Source organism: Homo sapiens, chromosome 6, assembly GCF_000001405.40.
Source record: "Homo sapiens chromosome 6, GRCh38.p14 Primary Assembly".
NCBI lineage: Eukaryota > Metazoa > Chordata > Mammalia > Primates > Hominidae > Homo > Homo sapiens.
The window spans coordinates 28,845,312-28,865,185 of NC_000006.12; the positions used below are offsets into that span (position 1 = coordinate 28,845,312).

Genomic DNA, 19,874 nt, shown 5'->3' on the forward strand with positions numbered 1-19,874 from the left:
GAGCCCAGAAATAAATCCTTGCATATATGGATGAATAATTTTGACAATGATGCCAAGACTACACAATGGAGAAAGGACAGAGCCTTCAGTAAACAGTATTGGAAAAAGTGGTTATCTACATGCAAAATAATGAATTGGACCTTATCTTTATACATATACAAAAAAAATTCAAAATGGGTTAAAGACCTAAACATAAGACCAAAAACTATACAACTCCTCGAAGAAAACATGGAGGAAAAGCTTCAGGACATTGGATTTGACAGTGATTTCTTGGACAAGCCACCAAGAACACAGACAACAAAAGCAAAAATAGACAAATGGGACCACACCAAACTTAAAAATTTCCGCACATCAAAGGAAACAATCAAAAAAGTGAAAACACAACCTATGGAACAGGAGGAAAATGTTTGCAACTGATAAAGGGTTAATATCCAGCGTATATAAGGAACTTGTACAACTCAACAACAACAAAAAACAAATAACCTGATTTTAAAATGGGCAACAGACTTTAATAAACATTTCTTGAAAAAAGATATACAAATAGCCAATAAGCATATGAAAAAATGTTCAACATTACTAATCATTAGAGAAATACAAATCAAAATCATAATGAAATATAATCTCACATCTGTTAGGATGGCCCTATGAAAAGAATAGAAAATAACAAGTGTTGGAGAGGATATGCAGAAATTGGAAATGTGTGCACTGTTGGCGGGAATGTAAAATGGTGCAGCCATTATGAAAAACAGTGTGGAGTTCGTGGTCTATATACATATATATATACATGTATATATATAAGTTATAGGTTTTCATCCACAGTTACTGGTTCATAACTTCCATCTCCCTTGTTACAGTCTTTTGTTATAATGTTGTGTGTGTTAGGCCTCAGGGGCAGGCCTCAAGGAACAGAATCTACCTCCTGCCTTCCTTTCACCTGCCCCAAGGCAGAACTCTAATATTACCCCATCTTTTTCATTATGGGTCTTAAGACCCTCCCCTGGGAGGGTCCAGTCTCATACCCTGGAGGAAGGAATGCTTCCATACAAACCCAAGAAGACTGGGTTCAAAGACCTCCAGATAGCTGAACCCGTGAAGGTTGCTGGAGGGTGGCATGCCCAGGGAGGGCATGGAAGCTCCATACCCCTTCCACCATACCTTGCCCTGCCAGTCTATTCATCTGTGTCCTTTATAATAAACTGGTGAATGTAAATGTTTCCCTGAGTTCTGTGAGCCACTCCAGCAAATTAACTTAACCCAAAGAGGAGGTTGTAGGAACCCCAAATTGAAACCAGTCAGTCAAGAAGTCCCAGAGACCCAGACTTGCAACTGGTATCTGAGGCTATAGGGGGAAGTCTTGTGGACTGAGCCCCCAACCTGCAGGAACTGACATTACCTTCAGGTAGACAGTGTCAGAACTGAATTGGAGGACACCTAGCTGGTGTCTGCTGCTTGATGTGTGGGGAAAAACCTTCACACATTTGGCCACAGTAGTCTTCTATGTTGATGATTATTGTGGTGTAAGACTAGAGGAAAATGGTTGGTGAGAGTTTTCCCAACACAGGGTTTCTTCACAAAATTAAAATTATGATTCCCATATAATCCAGCAAACCTACTTCTGCAGGGGTTTCAAAAGAATTCAAAAGCATTCAAAGTAGGATCCTAAAGAGATAACTGTAGCATTATTCACACTAGCCAAGAGGTAAAAGCAAAACAAATGTCAATTGACAGATGAATGGATATACCAAATGTGGTATATACATACAACAGAATATTATGTAGCCTTAAAAAAGGAAATCCTATCACATACTACAATAATAGATAAATCTTGAGGACATTATGGCAAGTGAAGTAAGCCAGTCACAAAAGAACAGACACTGTATGATTCCACTAATAAGAAGTATCTAAAGTAGACACAATTATAGAAACAGAAGGTAGAAAGGTGGTTGCCAAGGACTGGCTGGAAGGGAGAGGAGAATTAGCGTTTGTTGGGCATAGAGTTTCAGTGTTGAAAGATGAAAGTGTTCCAGAGATCTGTTGCATAACAATGTGAATATACTTAATACTACTAAACTGTATACTTAAAAATGGTTAGGATGATAAATTTAATGTTATGTGTTTTACTTTTATTTAAAACAATTTAAATACGTTCAGATAAATAAAAATGAGTTCAGTCAGGCGCGGTGGCTCATGCCTGTAATCCCAGCACTTTGAGAGGCCAAGGCGGGCGAATCACTTGACGCTAGGAGTTGGAGGCCAGCCTAGTCACAAAACCATGTCTCTACAAGAAAATATAAAAAATTAGCTGGGTGTGGTGGCACATGTCTGTAATCCCAGCTACTGGGGAGGCTGAGGCATGAGAATCGTTTGAACCTGGGAAGGTGAGGTTGCAGTGAGCTGAGAATGTGCCACTGCACTCCAGCCTGGGTGACAGGGTGAGACTAGGTCTCAAAAAAAAAAAAAAGTACACAACAGCACAACATATCAAAATGTACTGGATACAGCTAAAACAGTGCTAAGAAGTAAATTTATAGCTGGGAATGTTTATGTTAGGAAAGACAAAAGATCTTAAATCAATAGCCCTTACATTGTAAGACACTGAAAAAAGACGAGCAAACTAAAGCTAACGCAACAGGAAGGAAAGAAATAAAGATTAGAGTGGAAACTAATGAAATAGAAAAACAATAAATAAATAAATAAAATAAAATATTTATTTCTTAAAAAGGTAAACAAAATTGTCAAACCCTAAACTAGATTGACCAAGATAAGGGAGAGATGATTCAAGTCACTAAAATCAGAATTGAAATGGAAACATTACTGTGGGGCGCAGTGGCTCACACCTGAAATCCCAGCACTTTCGGAGACCGAGGTGTGTGCATCACGAGGTCAGGAGTTTGGGACCAGCCTGGCCAACATGGTGAAACCCCATTTCTACTAAAAATACAAAAATTAGGTAGGTATGGTGGTACCCACCTGTAGTCCCAACTACTCAGGAAGCTGAGGCAGAAGAATCACTTGAACCTGGGAGCCGAGATTGTGCCACTGCACTCCAGCCTGAGGGACAGAGTGAGACTGCATCTCGGAAAAAAAAACAAAAAACAAAAAAGAAATCCCCTGTTAGAAGAGAATAAAATAGAGTGAAAACAAGATGGCCAAATAGGAACAGCTCTGGTCTGCAGCTCCCAGCGTGATTGCCACAGAAGATAGGTGATTTCTGCATTTCCAACTAAGGTAACTGGTTCATCTCACTGGGACTGGTTGGACAGTGGGTACAGCCCATGGAGGGTGAGCTGAAGCAGGGCGGAGCATCGCCTCACCTGGGAAGTGCAAGGTTCAGGGGATTTCCCTTTCCCAGCCAAGGGAAACTGTGACAGAGTGTACCTGGAAAATCGGGACACTCCTGCCCTAATACTGCACTTTTCCAATGGTCTTAGCAAATGGCACACCAGGAGATTATACCCAGAGCCTGGCTCAGAGGGTCCTACGCCCACGGAGCCTTGCTCACTGCTAGAGCAGCAGTCCGAGATCGAACAGCGAGGTGGCAGCCTGGCTGGGGGAGGGGGTCCTCCATTGCTGAGGCTTGAGTAGGCAAACAAAGTGGCCCAGAAGCTCTTATTGGGTGGAGTCCACCACAGCTCAAGGAGGCCTGCCTGCCTTTGTAGACTCCACCTCTGGGGGGCAGGGCATAGCTGAACAAAAGGCAGCAGAAACTTCTGCAGACTTAAACGTCCCTGTCTGACAGCTCTGAAGAGAGCAGTGGTTCTCCCAGCACGGAGTTTGAGTCCTAAGAAGGGACAGACTGCCTCCTCAAGTGGGTCCCTGACCCCTGTGTAGCCTAACTGGGAGACACCTCCCAGTAGGGGCCGACTAACACCTCATACAGCCAGGTGCCCCTCTGAGACGAAGCTTCCAGAAGAAGGATCAGGCAGTAATATTTGCTGTTCTGCAATATCTGCTGTTCTGCAGCCTCTGCTGGTGATACCCAGGCAAACAGGGTCTGGAGTGGACCTCTAGCAAACTCCAACAGACCTGCAGCTCAGAGACCTGTTAGGAGGAAAACTAACAAACAGAAAGAAATAGCATCAACATCAACAACAAGGACATCCACACCAAAAGCCCATCTGTAGGTCACCATCATCAAAGACCAAAGGCAGATAAAACCACAAAGATGGAGAGAAACCAGAGCAGAAAAGCTGAAAATCCTAAACACCAGAACACCTCTTCTCCTCCAAAGGATCGCAGCTCCTCACCAGCAATGGAACAAAGCTGGATGGAGAATCACTTTGATGAATTGACAGAAGTAGGCTTCAGAAGGTCAGTAATAACAAACTTCTCCGAGCTAAAGGAGGCGGTTTGAACCCATCATAAGGAAGCTAAAAACCTTGAAAAAAGATTAGACAAATGGCTAACTAGAATAAACAGTGTAGAGAAGACCTCAAAGGACCTGATGGAGCTGAAAACCATGGCACGAGAACTACGTGACACATGTAAAAGCTTCAGTAGCCGATTCCATCAAGTGGAAGAAAGGGTATCAGTGATTGAAGATCAAATTAATGAAACGAAGCAAGAAGAGAATTTAGAGAAAAAAGGGTAAAAAGAAGCCGGGCGCGGTGGCTCACGCCTGTAATCCCAGCATTTTGGGAGGCCGAGGCGGGCGGATCACAACGTCAGGAGATCGAGACCATCCTGGCTAACACGGTGAAACCCCGTCTCTACTAAAAATACAAAACATTAGCTGGGCATGGTGGCGGGCGCCTGTAGTCCCAGCCACTCGGGAGGCTGAGGCAGGAGAATGGCGTGAACCCGGGAGGTGGAGCTTGCAGTGAGCCAAGATGGCACCACTGCCCTCCAGCCTCGGTGACACAGTGAGACTCTGTCTCAAAAAAAAATAAATAAATAAAAGAAAAAAGGCTAAAAAGAAACAAACAAAGCCTCCAAGAAATATGGGACTATGTGAAAAGACCAAATCTACGTCTGATTGGTGTACCTGACACTGACAGGGAGAATGGAACCAAGTTGGAAAACACTCTTCAGGATATTATCCAGGAGAACTTCCCCAACCTAGTAAGGCAGGCCAACATTCAAATTCAGGAAATACAGAGAACACCACAAAGATACTCCTCGAGAAAAACAATCCCAAGACACATAATTGTCAGATTCACCAAGGTTGAAATGAAGGAAAAAATGTTAAGGGCAGCCAGAGAGAAAGGTCGGGTTACCCGCAAAGGGAATCCCATCAGACTAACAGCAGATCTCTTGGCAGAAACTCTACAAGCCAGAAGAGAGTGGGGGCCAATATTTATCATTCTTAAAGAAAAGAATTTTCAACCTAGAATTTCATATCCAGCCAAACTAAGCTTCATAATTGAAGGAGAAATAAAATCCTTTGCAGACAAGCAAATGCTGAGAGATTTTGTCACCACCAGGCCTGCCTTACAAGAGCTCCTGAAGGAAGCGCTAAACATGGAAAGGAACAACTGGTACCAGCCACTGCAAAATCATGCCAAATTGTAAAGACCATCGATGCTAGGAAGAAACTGCATCAACTAATGGGCAAAATAACCAGCTAACATCATGACAGGATCAAATTCACACATAACAATATTAACCTTAAATGTAAATGGGCTAAATGCCCCAATTAAATTAGACACAGACTGGCAAATTGGATAAAGAGTCAAGACCCATCAAGTGTGCTGTATTCAGGAGACCAATCTCACATGCAGAGACGCACACAGGCTCAAAATAAAGGGATGGAGGAAGATCTACCAAGCAAATGTAAAGCAAAAAAAAAAGCAGCAGTTGCAATCCTAGTCTCTGATAAAACAGACTTTAAACCAACAAAGATCAACAAAGACAAAGAAGGCCATTACATAATGGTAAAGGGGTCAATTCAACAAGAAGAGCTAACTATCCTAAATATATATGCACCCAATACAGGAGCACCCAGATTCATAAAGCAAGTCCTTAGAGACCTACAAAGAGACTTAGACTCCCACACAATAATAATGGGAGACTTTAACACCCCACTGTCAATATTAGACAGATCAATGAGACAGAAGGTTAACAAGGATATTCAGGACTTGAACTCAGCTCTGGACCAAGCAGACCTAATAGACATCTACAGAACTCTCCACCCCAAATAAACAGAATATACATTCTTCTCAGCACCACATCACACTTATTCCAAAATTGACCACAAAGTTGGAAGTAAAGCACTCCTCAGCAAATGTAAAAGAACAGAAATCACAACAAACTGTCTCTCAGACCACAGTGCAATCAAATTAGAACTCAGGATTAAGAACCTCATTCAAAACTGCACAACTACATGGAAACTGAACAACTTACTCCTGAATGACTACTGGGTAAATAACAAAATGAAGGCAGAAATAAAGATGTTCTTTGAAACCAATGAGAACAAAGACACAACATACCAGAATCTCTGGGACGCATTTAAAGCAGTGTGTAGAGGGAAATTTATAGCACTAAATGCCCACAAGGGAAAGCAGGAAAGATCTAAAATCGACATCCTAACATCACAATGAAAAGAACTAGAGAAGCAAGAGCAAACACATTCAAAAGCTAGCAGAAGGCAAGAAATAACTAAGATCAGAGCAGAACTGAAGGAGACAGAAACACAAAAAACCATTCAAAAAATCAATGAATCCAGGCGCTGGCTTTTTTGAAAAGATCAACAAAATTGATACATCACCAGCAAGACTAATAAAGAAGAAAATAGAGACTAATCAAACAGATGCAATGAAAAATGATAAAGGGGATATCACCACCGATCCCACAGAAATGCAAACTACCATCAGAGAATACTATAAACACCTCTATGCAAATAAACTAGAAAATCTAGAAGAAATGGATAAATTCCTGGACACATACACTCTCCTAAGATTAAACTGGGAAGAAGTTGAATCCCTGAATAGACCAATAACAGGCTCTGAAATTGAGGCAATAATTAATAGCCTACCAACCAAAAAAAGTCCAGGACCAGACGGATTCACAGCAGAATTCTACCACAGGTACAAAGAGGAGCTAGTCCGATTTCTTCTGAAACTATTCCAAACAATAGAAAAAGAGGGACTCATCCCTAACTCATTTTATGAGGCAAGCATTATCCTGATACCAAAGCCTGGCAGAGACATGACAAAAAAAGAGAATTTTAGACCAATATCCCTGATGAACATCGATGCGAAAATCCTCAATAAAATACAGGCAAACCAAATCGAGCAGCACATCAAAAAGCTTATCCACCAAGAACAAGTTGGCTTCATCCCTGGGATACAAGGCTTGTTCAACATATGAAAATCAATAAATGTAATCCATCACATAAACAGAACCAAAGCCAAAAACCATGTGATTATCTCAATAGATGCAGAAAAGGCCTTCGACAAAATTCAACAGCCCTTCATGCTAAAAACTCTCAATAAACTAGGTATTGATGGGACGTATCTCAAAATAATAAGAGCTGTTTATGCCAAACCCACAGCCAATATCATATTGAATGGGCAAAAACTGGAAGCATTCCCTTTTAAAGCTGGCACAAGACAGGGATGCCCTCTCTCACCACTTCTATTCAACATAGTGTTGGAAGTTCTGGCCAGGGCAATCAGGCAAGAGAAACAAATAAAGGGTATTCAATTAGGAAAAGAGGAAGTCAAATTGTCCCTGCTTGCAGATGACATGATTGTATATTTAGAAAACCCCATCGTCTCAGTCCAAAATCTCCTTAAGCTGATAAGCAACTTCAGCAAAGTCTCAGGATACAAAATCAATGTGCAAAAATCACAAGCATTCCTATACATCAGTAACAGACAGAGAGCCAAATCATGAGGGAACTCCCATTCACAATTGCTACAAAGAGAATAAAATACCTAGGAATCCAACTTACAAGGGATGTGAAGGACCTCCTCAAGAAGAACTACAAACCACTGCTCAACAAAATAAAAGAGGACACAAACAAATGGAAGAACATTCCATGCTCATGGATAGGAAGAATCAATATCATGAAAATGGCCCTACTGCCCAAGGTAATTTATAGATTCAATGCCATCTCCCTCAAGCTACCAATGACTTTCTTCACAGAATTGGAAAAGACTACTTTAAAGTTCATATGGAACCAAAAAAGAGCCTGCATTGCCAAGACAATCCTAAGCCAAAAGAACAAAGCTGGAGGCATCACGCTACCTGACTTCAAACTATACTACGTGGTTACAGTAACCAAAACAGATGGTACTGGTACCAAAATAGATATATAGACCAATGGAACAGAATAGAGCCCTCAGAAATAATACCACACGTCTACAACCATTTGATCTTTGACAAACCTGACAAAAACAAGAAATGGGGAAAGGATTCCCTATTTAATAAATGGTGCTGAGAAAACTGGCTAGCCATATGTAGAAAGCTGAAACTGGATCCCTCCCTTAAACCTTATACAAAAATTAATTCAAGATGGATGAAAGACTTAAATGTTAGACCTAAAACCATAAAAACCCTAGAACAAAACCTAGGCAATACCATTCAGGACATAGGTATGGACAAGGACTTCATGACTAAAACACCAAAAGCAATGACAACAAAAGCCAAAATAAACAAATGGGATCTAATTAAACTAAAGAGCTTCTGCACAGCAAAAGAAACTACCATCAGAGTGAACAGGCAACCTACAGAATGGGAGTAAATTTTTGCAATCTACCCATCTGACAAAGGGCTAATATCCAGAATCTACAAAGAACTCAAACAAATTTACAAGAAAAAATCAAACAACCCCATCAAAAAGTGGGCAAAGGATATGAACAGACACTTCTCAAAAGAAGACATTTATGCAGCCAAAAGACACATGAAAAAATGCTCATCATCACTGGCCATCAGAGAAATGCAAATCAAAACCACAATGAGATACCATCTCACACCAGTTAGAATGGTGATCATTAAAAAGTCAGGAAACAACAGGTGCTGGAGAGGATGTGGAGAAATAGGAATGCTTTTACACTGTTGGTGGGACTGTAAACTAGTTCAGCCATCGTGGAAGACAGTGTGATAATTCCTCAAGGATCTAGAACTAGAAATACTATTTGACTCAGCAATCCCATTACTGGGTATATACCCAAAGGATTATAAATTATGCTACTATAAAGACACATGCACACATATGTTTATTGCGGCACTATTCACAATAGCAAAGACTTGGAACAACCCAAATATCCATCAATGATAGACTGGATTAGGAAAATGTGGCACATATACACCATGGAATACTATGCAGCCATAAAAAAGGATGAGTTCATGTCCTTTGTAGGGACATGGATGAAGCTGGAAACCATCATTCTCAGCAAACCATAACAAGGACAGAAAACAAAACACCTCATGTTCTCACTCATGGGGGGAATTGAACAATAAGAACACTTGGACACAGGAAGGGGAATGTCACACACCAGGGCCTGTCGTGGAGTGGGTTAGTGGGGAGGGATAGCATTAGGAGAAATACCTAATGTAAATAACAAGTTAATGGGTGCAGGATACCAACATGGCACGTGTATACATATGTAACAAACCTGCACATTGTGCACATGTACCCTAGAACTTAAAGTACAAAAAATAAGAGAATAAAATATTTCCCCCCTTAGACCTGAGCCCTGATAGTATTTATTTATATTTCTGACCCCCTACTACAGCTTCTTACTTTTGACAATTGTCCTTTTTTTTTTTTTGAGATTGAGGCTCGCTCTGTCACCCAGGCTGGATTGCAACAGCGCAATCTCAGCTCACTGCAACCTCCACCTCCCAGGTTCCAGTGATTATCCTGTCTCAGACTCTCAAGTAGCTGGGATTACAGGCGGCTGTCACTATGCCTGGCTAATTTTTTGTATTTTTAGTAGAGAAGGGGTTTTGCCATATTGGCCAGGCTGGTCTCAAACTCCTGACCTCAAGTGATCCTCCCACCTCGGCCTCCCAAAGTGCTGGGATTACAGGCATGAGCCACCATGCCCAGCCAATTGTCCTTTTTCTAACACAAAATACTTCCATGGTCTGAGCACCGTGAATGAGGCTGTCAAACTGGAAAAGTGAGTTAAGCTGAGATGCAGACCTGCCAAAGTCTCAACCAACACCATAGGGAGCACTGGATTACATATGGCCTATACTCCTGTGGTGCCAAAACGACAAATCTTTTTACTCCACTGCAATCAATTGTTGAAGGTGCATCATCCCAGGAAGGGTGTGCTTTTGGGAGAATCAACTCTCTGCACCTGAGATAAACCCTAGAACATTGGCAGCACTCCAAACAACTAAGGGAAATGAGTCCTTCTTTGAGAGGGAATGTAGGTGGCATTTCTCCATGTCTTATATATCTCAGTTATTATTTATTCAAATATTGCCTCTGCTCTATTGTCTTTCATCCATTAAAAATTCTAATTAAATATATATTAGATCTCCTTATCCTCTCTTCTATTAATACCATTATTTTGCATCTCCATACTTTGTTCTGAATAATTACTTTTTGTTTTTTTATGAGACAGAGTATCGCTCTGTTGCCCAGGCTGGAGTAAAGTGGCACAATCTCGGCTCACTGCAAGCTCCGCTTTCTGGGTTCATGCCATTTTCCTGCCTCAGACTCCCAAGTAGCTGGGACTACAGGTGCCTGCCACCACACCTGGCTAATTTTTTGTATTTTTAGTAGAGATGGGGTTTCACCGAGTTATCATGATGGTCTCGATCTCCTGACCTCGTGAACCACCTGCCTCAGCCTCCCAAAGTGCTGGGTTTACAGATGTGAGCCACCACGCCCAGCGTGTTCTGAATAATTTCTTCTAAATTATTTTCCACTTTACTAATACTCTTTTCAGTTGTGTCAAGTTTGTTGTTAATTTATCCTTCAAGTTCTTAATTTTGGTTATTATATATTTCAATTACAAATAAATTTTGGTTTTTATTTTTAAATCTACTTCGTCAGTTTTTATATTTTTCAATTTGCTCCTTAAATTTTTTAGATTAGCTTTTGTTTCTTTGAATATAGTAAGCAGTTTTGTTACACCCTTATCTGATAATTTCCAAATCTGAAGTTTAGTAGATTCTATTTCTGGTATCTGTCATTTCTTTTTCTTTCTTTCCTTTCTTTTCTCTTTTTCTTTTTTCTTTCTTTCTCTCTTTCTTTCTCTCTCTTTTCTTTCTTTTCTTTTTTTGAGTCTGTTGTTTCTGTTGATTTTCACGGAGACTTGTTTGTTCATGTGTATGCACGTTTGTATGCTGGGTTTTGTATTTGAAAAAAATATTTCTAGAAATAATGTGAAGTCTAGGTTAAAGTTTTATTCCTTCAGAGAGGATTTTCTTTTGCTTCTTCAGAAACCTAGATGTGCTGAAATACAGCCCACCTTAAACCAGTGTCAAGGTTTGGGGTCTTATGGGCTACCAGATGATGGTAAGCCAAGCTGCAGTTTATGGGTGAGCAGGTTTACTTACAGTTCCCCTTTACTCCTAGAAAGCAGCCTCAGGGGGAGTGCATGATCACCAATGTCGCCACTTTGGGCAGCCCTAGGTTTCTGTTTTTGTTCCTCTAACCCTATGAGGCTATCAGAAACATAGATAAGTCTCTTGGCTTCTACATCCAGATTACAAATGTTGCCAGGGCAAAAGGGGTCCCAACTGCTAGATTCACTTCTCTGGGTTTGTTTCTTTTACTGACACTCAGCAGGTAATTGATTACTAGTTTATTATATTTTTAATGCTTTAAGAAAGAATTATTTTTATATATCACCCGGCTTTATTGTTGTCTTTACCAGGGGGATTATCTGAATTACCTAGACATCCATTATCTGGAACAGAGTTCTGTCTCTCTTCACTTGTCTTAATTGAAAACTAGAGTCAGCACCCCTGAATATCAGCGGAATCCACTGCACCATAATCTGTGGATTATGCTGTTAAAGCAAACTAAATATGGCCTGAGAAAGATTCCATACTTTTATATTTGGGTCCTTGTGGAGGAATTGCAACCTAGTTTAATGGGTAGACAAGATTGAAAACCTAACTTAGGAATATGTGCCTATAACAATAGCTGAGTCTTGGCCAATCCCAGTGGCTGTAATTCAACCATTCATACACTGCTGAGTGTTCAAATTGTGTTCAAATAAGGCAAAAACTGAGCTGTAACCCATCCAGCCATTCTGTACCTCACTTCCAATTTCCATATGTCATTCCTTTTTTTTTTTTTTTTAAGAAGGAGTTTTGCTGTTTTGCTCTGTTGCCCAGGCTGGAGTGCAGTGGCTCGATCTCAGCTCACTGAAACCTCTGCCTCCCGGGTTCAAGCAATTCTCCTGGCTCAGCCTCCTGAGTAGCTGGGATTACAGGAGCATGCCACCACAGCCGGCTAATTTTTTTGTATTTTTAGTAGAGACGGGGTTTCACCATGTTGGTCAGGCTTGTCTTGAACTCCTGACCTCGTGAGCCACACACCTCGGCCTCCCAAAGTGCTGGGACTATAGGCGTGGGCCACTGCGCTCGGCCCTCCCTTTTTTTTTTTTTTTTTTTTTGGTCTATAAATCTTCTTCCACCATGTGACTGCGCTGAGTCTCTGTGAATCTGTTGTGATTCTGGGGGCTGCCCGATTCGCAAACCGTTCATTGCTCAATTAAACTCCTTTAAATTTAATTCAGCTGAATTTTTTCTTTCATCAATGCCCATATTCTGAAGGTGTGAGTGAGCCTATACCAACAAGGTCAGGCTCAAACCTAGCCATTTTCTTCCAAAGTGTTAACCACAGTATTAAATAGCACCAAGGTTTTTAAAATAACTGAGACATTTACACACAAATATATTTTTAAAAAATAGAGATGGCCGGGCACGGTGGCTCAGGCCTGTAATCCCAGCACTTGGTAGGCTGAGGCAGGCGGATCACCTGAGGTCGGGAGTTTGAGACAAGCCTGACCAACATGGAGAAACCCCGTCTCTACTAAAAATACAAAATTAGCCATGCATGGTGGCGCATGCCTGTAATCCCAGGTACTTGGGAGGCTGAGGCAGGAGTATTGCTTGAACCTGGGAGGCGGAGGTTGCAGTGAGCCGAGATCGCGACATTGCACTCCAGCCTGGGCAACAAGAGTGAAACTCCATCTCAAAAAAAAAAAAAAAAAGAGATATAATCCAGTACCTTATATCTGTGCTACACCCTCATACTGTAGACTTTGTATGACTGTACGATGCTCTTCTTTGCATGACTATACAAGGCCCTTCAAAACCCGAGAAAAGTGTTCCTATTCTCATGTCAAAACTTCCTAGCACTATTAATGGAATGAACTGTTGGGGGAAAATGAAATAAAAAAGCAATGTTATTTCCCCTAAATCTTTAGCAAGCACTTGTTGGATTAGTGAATCTTTGCCCTTGCGTGCAAGTCAGAGGATGGCAGCTCAAACTCACTAGAATCCATCTGGTTGTCTCCTCTTTTCTTTTGTCTCACATGCTTTGTTATGTGTCAGTTTAACTATACATATTTTAAAATAAGGACTTTCAGGGCAAAACATCTTACCATATACTATCACCGTAACTTGATGTAAACTTGAACTTAGTATACAGTAAGGCTGAGCTTATAAAATGTTCATTCAGGCTTACGTCAAGTTATGGTGGTAGAATATGGTAAATGAACTTATGTGATCTTATAAACTTAAAAACTGCTTATAAACTGCTCTAAAACTTTTTTTAAAAATTAAAAATAAAACAAATTCAAGGTATGCTCTTCTACTGGATATGCCATCTTAATTTTCTGTAACGGAAACTATCCTTTTGCCAACATCTACTCAGATGACTGGACTAATACAGTCATGCCTAGATCAACCTCAGGGATATGATCTGAAAAATTAGTCATTAGGGCATTTCATCACTGTGCAAACATTTTAGAGAGTATTTAACACAAACCTAGATGGTATAGCCTACTCCACACCTAGGTTATACGGTGTAGTCCATTGCTGCTGGGCTACAAACCACTACAGCATGTTACTGTATTGAATACTGTAGGGCAATGGAACACACAGATACGTATTTGTGTACTTAAACACAGGAAAGATACAGTAAAAATATGGTATTATAGTCTTATAAAACCATGGTCGTACATGTAGTCAGTCATTGACGGAAAGGTCTTTGTGTGAAGCACAAATGTAGTTCCAATTTGAGCATGACATCTTGTTGAAGGTTTAAGAATTAACCTGTATACTGAGAGTACATGTGGCTTCAGGTTGTTCACATACATATATTTTCAGGTTGTTCATACATATTATATGCTATTATAAGGTATTTTAAACTACCATGAACACCACAATAAAACATGGGAAAATGTTAATGATTTATTAGAGGAAAATAACTCAGTTATGAATATTGAAGCCCATTCTAAAGATAGAATTTTTGAAGCTAAAGAATATGCCCTAGATAACTACTATAGGTATTGTAAAAACAATTTGTTTTGAAAACCCAGAGGGCATATTCAAAAACAAGAATCTACCATACAGAAAGGTAGTCGCCATCTCAAAACTCTCATATATAGCAAAGGACTTTGGTCTTCCCAAGATAGCCATTTGGTTGTGCCTAAGTCATTCCCCAGAACTTTGATGTGCCTCGCACATGAAAGCACCCATAAATAATGGCAAGAACAAATTCACTACAAATTTTCAAAATTATTGTTAGAAAATTTTTCTCAAGAAGCTCTATGGGTAGATGAATCTTTTCTTCTCTGTGTTGATCATAACCCTCCAAAAAACTAAAACTATAGCAAGGCTTCAGTTTTCCACCTCCAGTACCATTTGCGCATTTACAAATGGATTTCATTCAGTTTTCCAAAATTTTAAAAAATTGAACGTTGTTTCAACAATATTTTCAAAAGTAAAATTGTGTAATTTGGGTTGGACTGAAGCTTTCTCTTCTAAAAGATTAATACTTTAAGTTAGTGTTGTCAAATAGGGCTTTTTACAATGATGAAAATGTTCTATATCTGTGCTGTCCACCTGGTAGGTATGACATGCCACGTGTGGCTATTGAGCATTGAAATGGGAATAGTACAACAGCTGTTACCAAAACCTAATAACAAGTATCATTCAAAGCTTGCAGATTTTGTTTTTCCAACTGGGAAATACAAAACATTTAGCACTGTTAATGGACAGAGAAATCCACTTCAGTAGTGAAATTCTTAAGATTCTCCCATTAAAACATACACTTTTTGTCCTTATTCTCAAAATCTGAGAAAGCAACACAAATTTATGGTCTTCTTTAAATCAACATTTGAAAACACCATCGCAAAATTACAACTGAGACAGTGAGAGATCTAACCTAACCAATTCCATCTTGCTTCTAACCTCCAAGCTGTCCTTGTTCATTCCTGGTCGTAGGCTGACCTAACTTTGGGAGGAACTTAGTTTATAGTTTAGCTTTGAAACAAAGACAATAGCAGCCCTTTCCAAAACAAACCCGCTTCCTGCCTGGGGACTAGACTGCTTTCGCAGGACTAACAAATTAGCCACAAGATTATAAATTATGGTTTAGGAGTCATGCAGCTGGAGGCTGCAAGATTCTAAACCTCCCCCAATTGCTCCTCAGGATAACATCACTATTGTAAAACCGAAGATCAGTTCTTGAGATATTTTGCAGCCCCTGTACTCTATGGATCAGCTAGCACCACCCATAACGATAAACTGGCTCATCTGGTCTTGTGGCCCCCATCCAGAAATTAAGCCAACACAAGAGGACAGCTTCGACTCCCTCTGATTTCATCTCCGACCCGACTAATCAACTTTCCCAACTCACTGGTCCCCTACCCACCAAATTATCCTTAAAAACTGCAATCCACTTGGGGAGACTGATTTGAATAATAATAAAACGGGTCTCCCACACAGCCGGCTTTGCATGCCCGTCTTGATAAATGGTTCTGTCTAGGCAGTGGGCAAGCTGAACTCATTGGGTGGTTACACATTTTCAAATTTTCAGAGCTTTCCTTAGACTAAAACTTTACCATCAGTCCTAAGGTAGTATGATCCATGCTACAAAACTCGCCATAAAACCTTACTATGTAACACTGCTATAGAAATCTATAAAGTGTTTCCTTCGTAGGAGGGCCGTAGGCAGCCATGGCGCCCAGCAGGAATGGCATGATGTTGAAGCCCCACTTCCACAAGGACTGGCAGCAGCGTGTGGCCACGTGGTTCAACCAGAAGATCCGCAGAATCAAGGCCCGGCAAGCCAAAGGGCGCTGCATCGCCCCGCGCCCGGAGAGTCGGGACCCATCTGGCCCATTGTGCTGTGCCCTGCTGTGCGTTATCACATCAAGGTGCGCGCCGGCAGAGGCTTCAGCCTGGAGCTCAGGGTGGCGGGCATTCACAAGAAGGTGACCCGGACCACTGGCATCTCTGTGGATCCGAGGAGGCAGAACAAGTCCACCGATTCCCTGCAGGCCAATGTGCAGCGTCTGAATGAGTATTGCTCCAAACTCATCCTCTTCCCCAGAAAGCCCTCGGCCCCCAAGAAGGGAGACAGTTCTGCTGAAGAACAGAAATTGGCCACCCAGCTGACAGGACCGGTCATGCCCATCAAGAATGTAAGGAGAAAGCCCGAGTCATCACTGAGAAGTAGAGGAATTGCAAAGCTTTCGCTAGTCTCCGCATGGCCGGTGCCAATGCTTGGCGGCAATGCTCGGCTCTTCGGCATATGGGCAAAAAGAGCCAAGGAAGCTGAAAAACAGGATGTGTGAAAGCAAAAATAAAGCCCTCTTGGGGACTTGTAATAAATACGTTTTAAAAGAAATCTATAAAGTTTAAACTGATTCTTCCTCTGACAGAGAAAGGCAGTTTCTTAACAGATAGAAAACACGTGAAACTGGTGGTCGGTCACTTCCCAATAAGATCTCAGGAGTGGGGAGAAATAACACAAGATTTAGGAACTATGCCAACGTTTACGACCCCAGGTCTAGAGGTCAAGCCGTGCACTTGGTCTCTCAAGTCGCCTGCTTGGCCCTCTTCCAAGTGTACTTTCCTTCATTAGTGCTCTAAATATTTTCAATAATTTTTCACCCCTGCTCTAAGACTTGCCTCGGTCTCTCCTTCGGCATTATGCTCCTCAATCGAATTCTTTCCTTCTCCTGAGGAGGCAAGAATTAATGTTGCTGCAGACTCCTTACAGATAACTGCCACCGCTAATATGTTGAGATGTTCACACATGCATGTGTGAGGCCCTTCAAAATGTGAGCTGCGGTTAGAATTGGGAAGAGAAGGGAGTGGGGATATGTATCTTTGTTTTCTGATTGCCTTCCATATCTTTTAAAACTAGCTAAGTGCTGCTTCAAGTCAGCCAGATACGAAGGCTTCAATTTATTTAACACAATAAAGAACTTCTATTTGGATCCAAAGCTTACATTATGCTTTAATAAAAGTTACCCTAATAAAGTCAGAAACAATAACAATGAGTCAAAGAAATGCATACAAAGTAGGCCAGGCGTGGTGGCTCACGCCTGGAATCCCGGCACTTTAGGAGGCAGAGGCGGGTGGATCGTGGATCACTTGAGTTCAGGAGTTCGAGACCAGCCTGGCCAACATGGTGAAACCCCCGTTTCCACTAAAAAAAAAAAAATTAGCCGGGCATGGTGGTGCATCATGCCTGTAATTCCAGCTACTCGGGAGGCTAAGGCAGGAGAATCACTTGCATCTGGGAGGCACAGCTTGCACGTGAACCGAGATGGTGCCATTGCACTCTGCACTCCAGCCTGGGAGACAGAGTGAGACTCTTGTCTCCAAAAAAAAAAAAAAAAAAAGCCTACAAAAAGCTTACAAAGTCTAAAATCGGACGAACAAGAGGACACCTGATGGGGGAAAAGAAAAGAGATTGCGATGGGAAGAGAGTGGTGGGGAAATCCGTGGGACAGTTTTCCTATTTTCTGGGTCTGTCCCTTGACCAAGGAACAGCTCAAAAAAGAAAGGATCTAAAATAAATTGTAAAAAATTACCTGTGGTTTCGCATTTGTTTTCTGTCTTTTTCTTTCTTGCTTGATCTTCGATAATACTGGGAAATGTAACCAATGTGATTGGGCTTGTTAATTTGGTGCCTTGCTTGTTTTTCGGGTTTTGGAATTCTGCCAGTCTGTGCTTCCGCGGCCTCTTTCATTTTGTCTTTCATCTCTTGACACAGCCACCCAGGGTGGTGTCAAAGCCTTAGAGCAGAAATGCATCAATATTGAAAGCAAAACGGAGCTTGTTTTCCTTGGTTTCCATGTGAATTTGAAGAATTGAGAGAGAATGAAAGTGCCACAAAAACAAAAGAAAAAAAATTGAGGCGAGTCGTGGACATGATAGACATGATTTTGCAAACAAGGCACATCTAGGAGAAAAGGCGGGAGAAAAATGAAGCTGGAGGTGCCGGGGATTGAACCCGGGGCCTCGTGCATGCTAAGCACGCGCTCTACCACTGAGCTACACCCCCCAACGCTCAACGTGGGCCAAAATATTTCTATGACCTGTTACTATTATCGGTCGTGCCAAGAAGCATATTTTGTCGAACTTAATTTTGAATTCGCTATACTGGATATTGTTTCCTGACTGCGCTGAGAGAAGGAAAACTGAATGTTATATCGAAAGTCCCGTGCTGGGCCTGGGATCTCCCGCTGCAGGTCACCCTCTCGGACGGCCGCTCGACAACCACCTATCGGGGTTTATAAGGGAGCCGTCCTGCCTGGCCGCCCCCCAGAGAAAGGTCTGTGATGGGGTGATTCTGCTTGGAAAGGTTGCCAGGAAACCGCGAGCATAACGCAGAAAGATAAAACGAAAGCCCTAAACGCCGCCGTGGGAATTTAAGTCCAAGGGGCAGAGAAAACAGGAGGGGAATTGCAGATCGGCTTGTCCCGGTCGTAGTTACTGCCCCTGCAGGTTCCCGCGCCCAGCCTCGGGATGGAGAACCTGGCACGCTACGTTTCGCGGGCTCTGAGACTCGGGTGGTGAGAGTCGCCGAGATGCGCACTGGGAAGAGAAAAGAGCCAGGACGCACCTGCATTTATGGCGCCATCGCCCGGGCGGAATCCTCCACGGAATAAAAAGTATGCAGAAGCAAGGCGATTTATGACTGCATAAACCCTCCGTGCTCCTGGAGAGTTCTTAGACCTCTCCACTCCTTGGCACAACTGACCTCTCCACTCTTCGACAAACTGGCAAGCGCTTGCCGCCGTTCGCCAAACCTTGGTACGACAGTCAATCCAGAAATGAGCTTCTGGAACAAATCCTAAATCCTTTTTTGTCTGTCTTCTTCTGATTCGCTCTCATCCTTAAGGGACCTGTTTCTCCTTCAAAACCTGAAAACATCTAACCTATAGTACCAACCCCAGATCCAGGCCTGGCCTTCCTGACCAGTCAAAGCCAGTTGGACTGTGCGCCTAGAAGTGGACAGACATGCGAAATGCCATACTGTATACGTACAATGCATAGGCCAAAGGCGACCCTATGACCCAGAGATTAGAAAGACTCGGACGTCTTTTGACTGGGTTCAGGTCACACTACTCCCAAAATACGACACCTCGGCATTTGAGAAAACAGCAGAAGCAGAAACGTTTTTCTCTGGGCCCTTGTTCCGTGAAGCGGGCCATGAAAGCTACCTGATCTTCCAATTAAAGTAGGTGATAAGACCGTCAATTCAGAGGGGAGAAAATGTACTTGGAGGAAATAAACGAAGACACAGAGATGCCAAAGAGAACCTGAATAAACAGGCTTTGCTAAGTTCACCCCAGTTTATAACCATTAGATCATACCCCCTTTTATCCAATTATACTGCTATGGGACTATCCACTTCATCAAACCTAAGCATAAAAATATAGGAAGTCCTCACTTATTGTCAGTTGGTTTTTGGAAACTATTACTTTAAG

At 41.8% G+C, this 19,874-nt stretch overlaps 1 long non-coding RNA gene, 1 other non-coding gene and 1 pseudogene across 2 annotated transcripts; 1 reads left to right on the forward strand and 2 right to left on the reverse strand.

The window, feature by feature from the left end:
- Positions 1-14,313: 14,313 nt before the first annotated feature.
- Positions 14,314-18,366, reverse strand: LINC01623 (long intergenic non-protein coding RNA 1623). The gene is made up of 2 exons (NR_033379.1): positions 17,973-18,366; positions 14,314-16,704 (listed from the first exon to the last, which is right to left on the reverse strand). It is a non-coding gene; the product is annotated as a long intergenic non-protein coding RNA 1623 (long non-coding RNA).
- RPL13P (ribosomal protein L13 pseudogene) lies at positions 16,076-16,758 on the forward strand (annotated as a pseudogene).
- Positions 18,367-18,373: 7 nt separating the features above from the next.
- TRA-AGC2-2 (tRNA-Ala (anticodon AGC) 2-2) lies at positions 18,374-18,445 on the reverse strand. The gene has a single exon. It is a non-coding gene; the product is annotated as a tRNA-Ala (tRNA).
- Between the last annotated feature and the right edge of the window lie 1,429 nt (positions 18,446-19,874).